The sequence below is a fragment of the Homo sapiens genome, chromosome 1 (assembly GCF_000001405.40).
Source record: "Homo sapiens chromosome 1, GRCh38.p14 Primary Assembly".
NCBI classification, from domain to species: Eukaryota; Metazoa; Chordata; class Mammalia; order Primates; family Hominidae; genus Homo; species Homo sapiens.
The window spans coordinates 79,129,024-79,141,852 of record NC_000001.11 but is presented as its reverse complement, the minus strand read 5'-3'; the positions used below and the strand labels follow the sequence as shown (position 1 = coordinate 79,141,852).

General features: G+C 37.4%; 1 long non-coding RNA gene across 1 annotated transcript in view, besides 1 other annotated feature; it reads left to right on the top strand.

Moving 5' to 3' along the window:
• Positions 1-12,829, top strand: part of LOC107984998 (uncharacterized) — a 67,115-nt gene that overhangs the window by 46,628 nt on the left and 7,658 nt on the right. The window lies entirely within an intron of this gene.
• Positions 3,131-3,679: an enhancer, noted in NCBI's record as "OCT4-NANOG hESC enhancer chr1:79603859-79604407 (GRCh37/hg19 assembly coordinates)". NCBI's record gives its function as "activates a minimal SCP1, AML or CMV promoter by ChIP-STARR-seq in primed H9 embryonic stem cells {active_cell/tissue: H9 hESC(primed)}" and the evidence as "EXISTENCE:reporter gene assay evidence [ECO:0000049][PMID:30033119]".

Here is a 12,829-nt window from a genome sequence, read left to right as displayed (position 1 = left end):
TGAATCTGAGAAGCAAAAAGGAAATAAAAGTTGATAGGCTAAAGTAATCATCCAGTCAAGATTATTGTATGAGCCATACCTAGTACAGTAGCCTTAGAAATAGAAAGAAGGTCTGGGCGCTGTGGCTCACACTTGTAATCACAGCACTTTGGGAGGCCCAGGCGGGCGGATCACGAGGTCAGGAGACCAAGACCATCGTGGCCAACATGGTTGCTGAGGCAGGCAGATTGCGAGGTCAGGAGATCGAGACCATCCTGGCTAACACTGTGAAACCCCGTCTCTACTAAAAATACAAAAAAATTAGCTGGGCCTGGTGGCGGGCACCTGTAGTCCCAGCTACTTGGGAGGCTGAGGCAGGAGACTAGCGTGAACCCTGGAGGCGGAGCTTGCAGTGAGCCCAGATCGCGAGATCGCGCCGCTGCACTCCAGCCTGGGTGACAGAGCAAGACTCTGCCTCAAAAAAAAAAATAAATAAATAAATAAATAAATAAAAGTAAAGAAATAGAAAGAAAGTATTAGATATGAGAAATGTTTAAGATACAAAGCTTAAAACATTCAAGAAACATATAGTTTGGTGGCAATAGACTTGTAGATAACAATCTATATTGAAAATCAGAATGTAATGGAACTATGGTATAAATACTGTGCGTTGGAGCATAGAGCAGACACTGTTGGTGCACTACCCATATCCCTTCTGTCCTTCACTTTCCAGTCTTGCAAATGGTGTCCACTGTCAATTCCCAGCCTTAGGACTTTCTCAAATCTCTTCTGTAGAGCAAGCTGGAAATACCCCCAAATTAATGCCACCAACATTAGCATTAATAACACAAAAGAGTTTAGCAAATAACACATAAGAGTTTCAGGATAAATTCTGCAGCATCCTCATGCCTTAGATATGGTAATACTGGGAATTTTTCTATTCTGTCTTCCAAAATTTCCTAGAAAGACTGAGCCCTAATAGACTGCAGTGATAACCAACTCATTAACACACATTTTTTTTCTCCTTCTATAGCCTCCACAAGTGATTTCTGGGGTTACCTGTCAATAAACTACTTTCTCTCTAACCTCGGGATCATCCTCTGAAAATTCGAATGAAGCTACGACAGATAAAAAGATTAAATTAGTAATTTTTAAACTTTCCGCAAATAAGAGTTCAAGTGTGGACAACTTCATTGGTACAATCTATTAAACATTTAAAGAACCAATACCAACTTTTATCAACTCCTCCAAGAAATATAAGAGGGCAGAATTCTTCTCAACTCATTCTATGAGTATGACCCTGATACAAAAATCAGACAGACATCACAAGGAAAGAAAACTGCTATATCTCTTATGTATGTGAATATCTCATAAGGAAATATAAATATATATATCATGATAATATCTCATAGGGAGATAGACTTACATCTCTTTATGAATAACATAAAAGCCCTCAACAAAATATTGCAAACCAAATCCAGCGACATATAAAAACAAATATGGACCATAAACAAGTAGGCTTTGTACCAGGAATGCAAGATAGACTCCTCATCCGAAATCAATTAATATAATACATCAGGTGAGTAGAATGAAAGACAAAAACTGCATAATCATCTCAATAGACATAGAAAAGCATTTGACATATCTAACATCTTTCATGATAAACATCCTTAGCAAACTTACGATTGAAAGGAACTATTTCAATCTGTTAAAGGACACCTACAAAACAACCCACACTAACATAACACATAATGGTGAAAGACTGGATGCTTTCCCTCTGATTTCAGGAACAAGATAATGATATCTAGTTTCTTCTGTTTGTGTTGTACTGGAGCTGGGGCAGTGAATTCTAATCTCAACAAAGCTGTTATTAGAAAGAAATACATCCAGTAAAATTTAACATCCTATTTTTTAATTTTAAAAAGCTCTCACCAAAGTACACACTATCCCTCTATGATAAAGGCAGTCTTGCAAAGTTCAGTTGACACCATAATTGAAATATTCTAAGAATAGGTACCAAGCAAGAATGCCCACTGTCACACTATTATTCAACAATGCACTGGAAATAAACTCAGTTTATTAACAGATAACCTGACACTATTTTGCATGTAAAATTATGGGAAACTACAATGAAGTGGCTACAAATGAAAAGCAAATTTAGCAGGGCAATATTCCAACAACAATTATATTTCCATATACTTGTGGCATAAATTTAAAAACTGAAATTTAAGAAATACTATTTTCAGTAGCATCAAAATCATAAAATATGTAGGAATAAATTTAACAAAATACAGGGAAGATATCTGAAATTAAAACTACAAAATGCCATTTAGATAAATTAGAAACCTAAATTAATAGATATTCCATAGTCATGAACTGGAAAATGCAATATGATTAAGATTTTACTTTTTTTCTAATTTAATCCATATTTTAAAGCAATCCTAATCAATATCCATTTCTTTGTAGAAATTAACAAGCTGATTTTATAATTTATAAAAAATGCAATTGACCTAGAATAGCAAAATATTTTTGGAATGAAAAATACAGTTGAAAGACTAACAGTTTCTGATTTCAAGACTTGCTATAATGTTACAGGGATAAGCCAGTGTGCTATGGGTTTAAGGATAGGCAAGTGGGTCAAAAAAACATGCACATTCTAAAAACAGAACAATGCACTTGATTTTTGGCAAATGTGCCAAAGCAAGTCATCAAAGAAAAAGAAATCTTTTCAACAAATGTTGCTGGAGCAACTGGATAAATGTATAGAGAAAATACATCAAGACACCCCCTCATATCATAAACAAAAATCAATTTGAGAGCGTTCGTAAACTTAAACATTAAAGCTAAAACTATGAAGCTTTTAGAAAAAAATATTTTGCAACTGGTGGTCAGCAAAAATTTCTTAAATAGGATGACAAAAGCAATAATCATGAAAGAAAACAGGATAAAAATATTTTCAGCATTTAAAAAATTTTAGGAAAAAACATCATTGAAAAATGAGTAAGCAAGCTACTGGGAGACAATACTTACAATGCACATGTATCTTCAAAATATTTATATGCAAAATATATATTATCGGGGGAACCAGCCCCCTGTATTTCAACATAGGTTCTTTTCTATTTTCCCTAACTGTTGTCTTGCCCCGGTCTGAGAAATAAAGGGAAAGAGTACAAAAGAGAGAAATTTTAAAGCTGGGTGTCTGGGGGAGACATCATATGTCAGCAGGTTCCGTGATGCCCCCTGAGCGGTAAAACCAGCAAGTTTTTATTAGCAATTTTCAAAGGGGAGGGAGTGTACGAATAGGGTGTGGGTCACAGAGATCACATGCTTCAAGGGCAACAAAAGATCACAAGGCAGAAGGTCAGGGTGAGATCACAAAGTCAGGGCAAAAGTAGAATTACTAATGAAGTTCCATGTCCTGCTGTGCACCCATTGTCAATGATTAACATCTTAACAGGATTCAAGAGCAGGGAACGGGTCTGACTAGAATTAGCCAGGCTGGAATTTCCTAATCCTAGCAAGCCTGGGGGTGCTGCAGGAGGCCAGGGCGTGTTTCATCCCTTATCTGCAACTGCATAAGGCAGACACCCCCAGAGTGGCCATTTTAGAGGTCCCCCCAGGAATGCATTCTCTTCCCCGGGCTGTTAATTATTAATATTCCTTACTGGAGAAAGAATTCAGCAATATTTCTCTTGCCCATTTTCGGCAATAAGAGAAATACGGCTCTGTCCTGCCTGGCTCCCAGGCAGTCAGACCTAATGGTTATCTCCCTTGTTCCCTGAACGTTGCTGTTATCCTGTTCTTTTTTCAAGGTGCCCAGATTTCATATTGTTCAAACACACATGCTTTACGAACAATTTGTGCAGTTAACGCAATCATCACAGGGTCCTGAGGGGACATACATCCTCAGCTTATAAAGATGACAGGATTAAGAGATTAAAGTAAAGGCAGGCATAGGAAATTATAAGAGTATTGATTGGGGAAGTGATAAATGTCCAAGAAATCTTCACAATTTATGTTCTGCTGTGGCTTCAGCTGGTCCCTCCGTTCGGGTCCCTGACTTCCTGCAACAATATATAAGTTCTTACAATTCAAACAAAATACAAATCAATGCTAAAGACAAACAACTCAATAGATTTCAGAAGATATATCACAAAAAAGAAATAATTAGTAACCATATGAAAAATTTATGGCAAACTGAAATCACATAATACTACTTTCAACATTCTAAAATAGCTATAATTTAGGCCGGGCATGGTGGCTCACACCTGTAATCCCAGCATTTTGGGACGCCGAGGTGGGCGGATCACTTGAGGTCAGGAGTTTGAGACCAGCCTGGCCAACATATAGTGAAACCCTGTCTCTAATAAAAAATACAAAAATTAGCTGGACATGGTGGTGTGCACCGGTAGTCCCAGCTACTTGGGAAGCTGAGGCAAGGAATCACTTGAACCTGTGAGGTGGAGGTTGCAGTGAGCTGAGATCACGCCACTGCACTCCAGCCTCAGCAACAGAGCGAGGCTCTGTCTCTCAAAAAAAAAAAAAAAAAAAAAAGCTAAAATTTAAACTCTCAAAACCAATTTAATGAGGATATAGTGCAACTTGGGCATTCCCATATTGTTGATGAAAACATAAAATGATGCAAGTACTTTGGAAAATTGACAATTTCTCATGAAATTAATGTACAACTACCCTATGGCCCAGTGTTTCAATTCCTAAAGCAATGGAAATATAAGTCTGTGAGCCTGGATGTGATGGCTCACACCACGGCCCAGCTTTTTGATTCCCAATGTAATGAAAATATACAACTGTAAGTCTGTATATGGTGGCTCAGGCCGTAGCCCTAGAACTTTGGGAGGACAAAGTGGGAGGATTGCTTGAGGCCAGGAGTTCAAGACTAGCCTAAGTGACATAATGAGATCCCATCTCTACAACAAATAATTCATAAAAAATAAATACATAAAAACACATAAACTAGAATGTTTAGAGTAGCTATATTCATAATAGACAAATATTGCAAATAGCTCCAAGTTCCAAGAGAATGGAAAGAATGCTGACATATTCTTGCAATTGCAATCACTAGTCTTAACAAAATAGAATGAACTATCAAATCATCTTATGTCATAGTTTAAGTCTGCCAGGAAGCAAATACTAAAGAAGTAGGGCTACAGAAATGTATGGCTATGATCTGAATGTGTCCCCTCAAATTAGTGTGTTGAAAACTTAATCCTCAATGCATGGGAGGTGGGACTAACAGGAGATATTTAGGTAGTGAAGGGATCTGCCTTCATGATGGAATAATGCCACTCTAAAATGGGCTTGCATAAGTGGGTTTTCTCTCTCTTTACTTGCACCTTCTGCCATGTAAGGATGCAGTAAGAAGGCCCGCACTGATACCAGTAGCTTGATCATAGACTTCCCAGCCTAGAAATACATTTCTGTTCTTTTTAAATTACCTATTCTTCTATAGAAGCTCAAAATGAATTAAGACAGAGAGTAATACCTGAAGAAAGAGAAGAGAGAAAATATGACTGATCAGGACACCTCTTGCTGTCATGCAGTGCTGAAGGTCTCTGCCAGTCCAGTGGGGAGATTCAGTCAAAGATTAACCATAAGAGGGGCCTTGCAGTGGGTATAAATGTTGAGACTCTTATACCAAGACTTTGCTCAGTCATTGGCTAGAGGCATCCTGAAGTGCAACACAGCTAACCACAATTCTTGCAGCTTGGCAGTGAGTTCTTTCCTCTAAGGGGAATCAGAGCACAAAATTTGCGTTTTACACCCAACAATGTGGATGAACCCGAAGGTCATTACTCTAGTAAAAGAAATTAGATGTAAAAGAGGCTATATTTTATGATTCCTTTTATATGACATGCAAAATCAGGCATATCTACATATTTAGAAATCAGAATAGCGTTTGCCTTTGGAAGATTGAGGATTGACTGGAAGAGGGCATGAGAGAACTCTCTGGTGTAATGAACATTTTCCATATCATGATGGGAGTACCGGATACAGTTTATCAAAAGTCATCTAAACTGTACGCTGAAGTGCTACAAATATACTTCAATTTGAAAAATAACTATTTAACTACTGCTCCTCCCTACTCTACATACAAAAGATACAAGCACTAGAAACCTAAAATTGCCATCGAAATCAGCTGTAAGTCTCTACTCATTTACGCTTGCTAACTGATACTTAATTTTTTTTTTTTTTTTTTTTTTTGTGAGATGGAGTCTCACTCTGTCACGCAGGCTGGAGTGTAGTGGCACGATCTCGGCTCACTGCAACCTCTGTCTCTCCCAGGTTCAAGCGATCCTCCTGCCTCAGCCTCCTGAGGAGCTGGGATTAAAGGCATGCACTACCACACCTGGCTAATTTTTGTATTTTTAGTAGACAAGGGGCTTCACCATGTTGGTCAGGCTGGTTTCCAACTCCTGACCTCATGATCCGCCTAGGCCTCCCAAAGTGCTGAGATTACAGGCATGAGCCACTGCACCTGGCCCTGATAGTTAATTTTTAGGGTAACTGGGATTGAGCAAAGGTTGTTGAATTTTGTCTGGCATTTCACTGAGCATGACATGTGTATGTGTGCGTGTGTGTGTGTTTGTGTGTGTATGTTTTCTAGACGTGTGCTTTTATACAATTCTATGTATTAGGGTGGTGCAAACTTAATTGAAGTTTTGGCACTAAAAGTAATGGCAAAAACCGCAATTACTTGTGCACCAACGTAATATATAGACATGGCTAAGGGTACATCACTAATGAATTACAAGCTTTAAATAAGTTCATCTACAAGGAAGATATGGAAAACTTATTTTGCAGTCTTCATGAACACACAGAGAGGAGATCACACATGTGTTCCTGTACTCAAATATTCCATACCCAAGTTATTTTTATTGAAGTAACATATGCTTAGGGTTCATGTATAGGAGCAGCTCTGGCCGCATTCCACCCAGCCTTCTGCTCTGCTTCCCAAAGGAAAGTACTCCTACACTATTAGGGTAGATATAAATTGAGTTCTCTCTGTTTTTTTTTTTTTTTTTTTTTGAGATGGAGTCTTGCTCTGTCTCCCAGGCTGGAGTGCAGTAGTGCAATCTTGGCTCACTGCAACCTCTGCCTCCCAGGTTCAAGAGATTCTCCTGCCTCAGCCCCCTGACTAGCTAGGACTACAGGTCCATGCCCGGCCACATTTTGTATTTTTAGTAGAGATGGGGGTTTCACCATGTTGGCCAGGCTGCTCTAGAACTCCTGACCTCAAGCAATCCACCTGCCCCCGCCTCCCAAAGTGCTGGGATTACAGGTGTGAGCCAATGTGCCCCGCCAATTTAATTCTCTTACACCAGTACTCCAGTCCTGGATTTTTTTACCACCTATAATCCTAATGTAACTTTTAGATTAAATAGTTATTTAGTGTTTGTACTATTTTAAGTATATAAAAATATTACAATGCTTAAGCCAAGTGACTTAATAGAATTTTTTTCTTTCCTGTATCATTAGTAGTCTTTCCTATGTTAAAAATTGCCCTATTTGTATGTGTTTGCCTGTTTATTTCTATAATAATCAGTTCTTCCTAATGAGCTAGGAGGTGGAACTCAACTCAGGAGATGAGACTTGACTCCAAGGGTGGAGCTCAGACACTGGACCAGATTGAGGACTAGCTAAAGCAGAGACAGAGCAAAAGCAGCTTTCCACAGGACATACTCACCAGTGTGTGATGTCAGTTTACAATTGCCATGGCAACAACCAGAAGTTATGGCTTCTTTCCATGGCAATGACCCAACTACCTGGAAGTTTCCACCGTTTTCCTAGAAATTTCTTCATGACCCGCCCCTTAATTTGCACATAATTAAAAGTGAGCATTAATATGACTGCAGCACTGGCTCTGAGCTGCTGTGGGCACAATGCCCGTGGGGTAGCCCTGCTCTGCAAGGGGCAGTAGCTCTGCTCCTGCTGTCACTTCAATAAAAGTTGCTGGGCCGGGCGCAGTGGCTCACGCTTGTAATCCTAGCACTTTAGGAGGCCGAGGTGGGCGGATCACCTGAGCTCAGGAGTTTGACACCAGCCTGACAAACATGGAGAAACCCCAACTCTACTAAAAATACAAAATTAGCCGGGTGTGGTGGTGCATGCCTATAATCCCAGCTTCTCAGGAGGCTGAGGCAGGAGAATCACTTGAACCCGGGAGGCAGAGGTTTTGGTGAGCCAAGATCACACCATTGCACTCCAGCCTGGGCAACAAGAGTGAATCTCTGTCTCAAAAAAAAAAAAAAAAATGTTGCTAACACCACCAGCTCACCCTTGAATTCTTTCCTGGGAGACTCCAAGAACCTTTCAGGCTAAGCCCAAAATTTGGAGCTTGCCTGCCTTGCATCACCATTACTTCCAGTAGACTAAATATAATTTTTAATATATTCAGATGTCCTATATAATTTATCACTTAAATTTATTTGCAGAGCTTATTCCTAAAACCTCATATTTTCCTGATACAATATAAATTGGTTACTCTTTTGCTCTACCACATAGTTCTTGTCCTGGAATTTTCCTGCTCAGTCAACTTTACCTTTCAAATTTTTGTGTTGGATTCCCAGTTTCTTTGGTTTCATGTCTTGTCCTTTCTTGTTTAACTTTCTCACCATGGTAGATTCCTGTTAAACTGTGCAAAGACAGTCATTCTTTTTGGAGAACTTGCATATCTGATAATGTCTTTATCACATATTCACATTAAATTGATATGTTTTCTCAAAAAGGAATTATATGATACATTTAAATTTCCCTCAGAATTTTGAAATTATTACTCTGTCTTCTAGCTGCCAATATTTGTGTTGAGAGTCTCCTGACTTTGTATGAAAACTTTATGAGAAACATCTTATTTTTCTTCTCTCTGTAGCTTTAAGGCTTTCACCTTCATTCCTGTAATTATGAAAATTCAATAATTATTATTCACTTTAATCATCATCATTTTAACTCACTTATTGAAATACTTATTTGTTAACTTTCTCTCATCTCTTTTCTTTATTTTCTTTCCGGAATTCATTAATCAGTTGTTTGACCTTCTAAGTATTCTCCTATTGTCTATCTCTTGGGTATTTTTGTATTACTATCTGCAAGATTTCCCTAGCTTTTATCTTTCATTTTCCCCTTGAAGTTAGTTTTGTATATTTTATTTCAGTGATTTAAATATAAGTAATCTGATATGAACATCTATGTGTTTTGATTAGCAATTCCACTAACTTACATGAATCTATTCTTATATACCTGCTTTCTCTCCTGTTTCAATAAATTGTCTGTGCTCCCATCTAAGACAAACACAACTACTTCATTTATTTATTCATTTTTTCACTCATTTATTTGTTTATTTTTTTGCCTGGCAAATATTGTGTGTCTATTACACGCCTATAACCTAATTCTATTCTCAATAAGACAACAACTACAAAAAAAACTCTACTGTCATAGATCCTTATTTGAAGGCCTGAGGAAATAATAAACACAAAATAATTGCATTAGATAGTAAATTAAAGCATTATAATCCCAGCCCTTTTTACTTTTTGAAGAAGTTTGCTCCTGAAACCAATTCCTTTGTCTCTTTCATCATCAGCCTCAGTATCTATTGAATAATTTCTATTAGCAAGTAAACACTTTATATTTCAGCTTAAAAATAAATAATTATACTTCATTCCCCTTTATTTATTGCCACATTTCTCTGTTCCCTTTTAGGGCAAAACTCCTGAAATTTGTGGTCTCCATTCACTGTCATCATTTTCTCCCTTTCTCACTGCTTTTCATTCCATTACCTCATAAAACTGCTATTATCAAGGCCCCCCTCTTGCCAAAACTAATGGATGATTCTTAATCCTGTTGTCACCTCCATTTAGCGTTGGAAATACTTGATCATTTCTTCTTTTTGAAATACTTTCTTGACCAGACTTTTGGAATACCACTCTTGTTTTCTCCAGTCTCACGAACAGTTCCTTCTTAGTCTCACTTGCTAAGTATCCCTAAATGCTGGTATGACCCATGGCTGAGTCCTCAGCCCGCATCTCTTCCCTAGGTGAACTCACTTAGTCCCATGTTTAAATGTCATCTGAGTGATAATGAATTCCAACCCCATTTAATCAACTGCCTATCTGTGACACCTTCACTACAATAACCAGTCATAGTAACTAACAGCTACTGAATATTTCTTATGAGTCAGAAACTGTTCTAGGAACATTTAGAATAGAATTAATACATTTAGTTTCCCAAGAACTCTTTTTACACACTATGAAATTAAAACACTGTGTACTTAATTCAGTTTTTAATATTATATAGCTAATAAGTCATTTACCCAAATTTAAACCCAAACCATCTGGCCCTACCTGCCTGTGTTCTTACTCATTACACTATGTTCCTTTTGGCTGGTTAAAGCTGGCATTTCAGACTAAATACAGGAAGACTTTTACTCTAAATCAGACTTGCTTTTAGTAGGAACCTTGCAGTATGTAGGTATGTTTATGTATAAATATACATTTAGCATTTGAAGATTATACAGATATATACTCAGGGCAACAATGAGGTAGCAGTTGATTTCTCGGACAGTCAACAAATGTACACTCTTCTAAAATATTATTTTCTCCATTTTTCCATTTTCATTCAGCTGAAAATGTGATCACAGTGAGTAGTAATGTTGAGGAATTGGGAGAGAAGAAGGAAAAACTTAGAGCCAGCAGCGGAGGTAGAAGACATGCTTGTAAATATAAAGGTTAAAAATCTGGGCCGAGCGCGGTGGCTCACGCCTGTAATCCCAGCACTTTGGGAGGCCGAGGCGGGTGGATCACGAGGTCAGGAGATCGAGACCACGGTGAAACCCCGTCTCTACTAAAAATACAAAAAATTAGCCGGGCGCAGTGGCGGGCGCCTGTAGTCCCAGCTACTCGGGAGGCTGAGGCAGGAGAATGGTGTGAACCCGGAAGGCGGAGCTTGCAGTGAGCGGAGATCGCGCCACAGCACTCCAGCCTGGGCGACAAAACGAGACTCCGTCTCAAAAAAAAAAAAAAAAAAAAAAAAAAAAAAAAAAAAATCTGTTATATATGTAAATGAAATGACTGTCAAACGTAGATTAACTATTTCCATCAGCTTGTTGATGAATGCAATAGAAGACCACAATAGTAAGATAAAAGTATTTCTAGAGAGTAAATGAACATGTTTCTTGCTTCACCTGACATTTGCTATTGAGTTCATATAATGTGGAATATCACAACTGAAATAGTAATAAACTGTATCAATCACTGAAAGCAGCATAAATTGAGTACAAATAACATGAAAAGAGAGAGTCACCAGTTCCCTTAGTCAATAAAGATCACAGCTTTTCAGATCATGCCTGAATTGCAGTTATTAATCACACTGCCCACTTACGGCAGACAATATTGTGCCGCTGATGATTGATAATCATCCTGGGCATAATGTCAGCTCTTCTATGAACCAGGAAGACTTGGGCCATGTATTTGAGATATCACAGATTGTTGGAATCTGCACTTCAATACATGCTCAAATCAGTTACTTTTTTATTGTTATTGAATATATTGAGAGAAAACAACTGAAGAACAATTCTTTAGGTTTCTTAGGTCATTTTTGTAATTCAGGTGAATTTATGACACATTGATCATGAACATAAAAGTTATTAGAAGCAATTGTTCTATAATAAAAATTGAGTGCACATAATGTGGTTATAGCAGAAACATCTGCCACTCATGCAGACATCATTCTGTAAACTCATCTAACTAACTCTATTTTCCTTTCTGATTGTATCAGGGTAGCTTGCGGCATGACAGTGATTTGAGTGACAGGCATCCACCCTGGCGCAGGGTGATGCATGCTTAAGTTTTGTTTACGGGAATCATCCCTCCTTGAAAAATGTAAATTTTTAAATTGGTTTTTATTGAAAAGAGGTATATAAGGAAGCAGTGTGGTTTCCTTCAATCCTTAAAAAGTCAAAGTCATTATAATAGTCTCCAGCTTTCATAAAAATTTTACTAACTTTTTAAATTGACTTTTTGGTTTTGTAATGAAAAAGAACATGAATTATTTAAAAGTTTCAGACAGTTTTTATTTAAAAAATATTAGAATATAGTAAAATGCAAAAGACAATGTTCAAGAAAAAGCATAATATTCACTACATTTAAAGAGGTTAACATCCTCACGTGTACTTCCTCAGAAACAGCCAAAGTCATTTTTAAATTCTAAAGTTACAAGGACAGCAAGGTTATATATATATGTGTGTGTGTTTATATATATATGGAACTATAATATGTGGAACTTTAAATGTGGAACTATAGTAAAATATCTGTTATAGAATCCTTATAAAAACGTTAGCATGTTAGATTTGGAAGGGACTTTTGAGGACATCCTATGTTGATGCTGGAAGCAACATGGAAATCCCTCAATGATATTCCTGTCTGAAGGTCCACCAGCATTTGCTCAGCCACTTCATAGGAAATTTCTAACTTCATAAGGCAATATTCTGCATTAGAACATCTCTTGTTTTAGAAAGAATTTATCATATTAAGCCAACATTTATCTTGTCTCCACTTTCAAAGAGACACCCTCCTAAGCTACACAGCACGACACACTACTTTACAACACAGAGTCTTACAATTTGCATAATTATGTGAAATAATATTTTGATGTTGCAGTGTAACTGGTTAATTCAATTGTTTATATGACTATCATAATGAAATATGTTAACAAATATGACTCAATAGCATTTTTGGTAAAATAATTGTGACATCTTTATATACGCAAATGACTTTTATCAGAATAAATCAATTCCCAATTTGGTCAGAACTGTGTGAAAGAAACAAAATGCAAGTGGGAA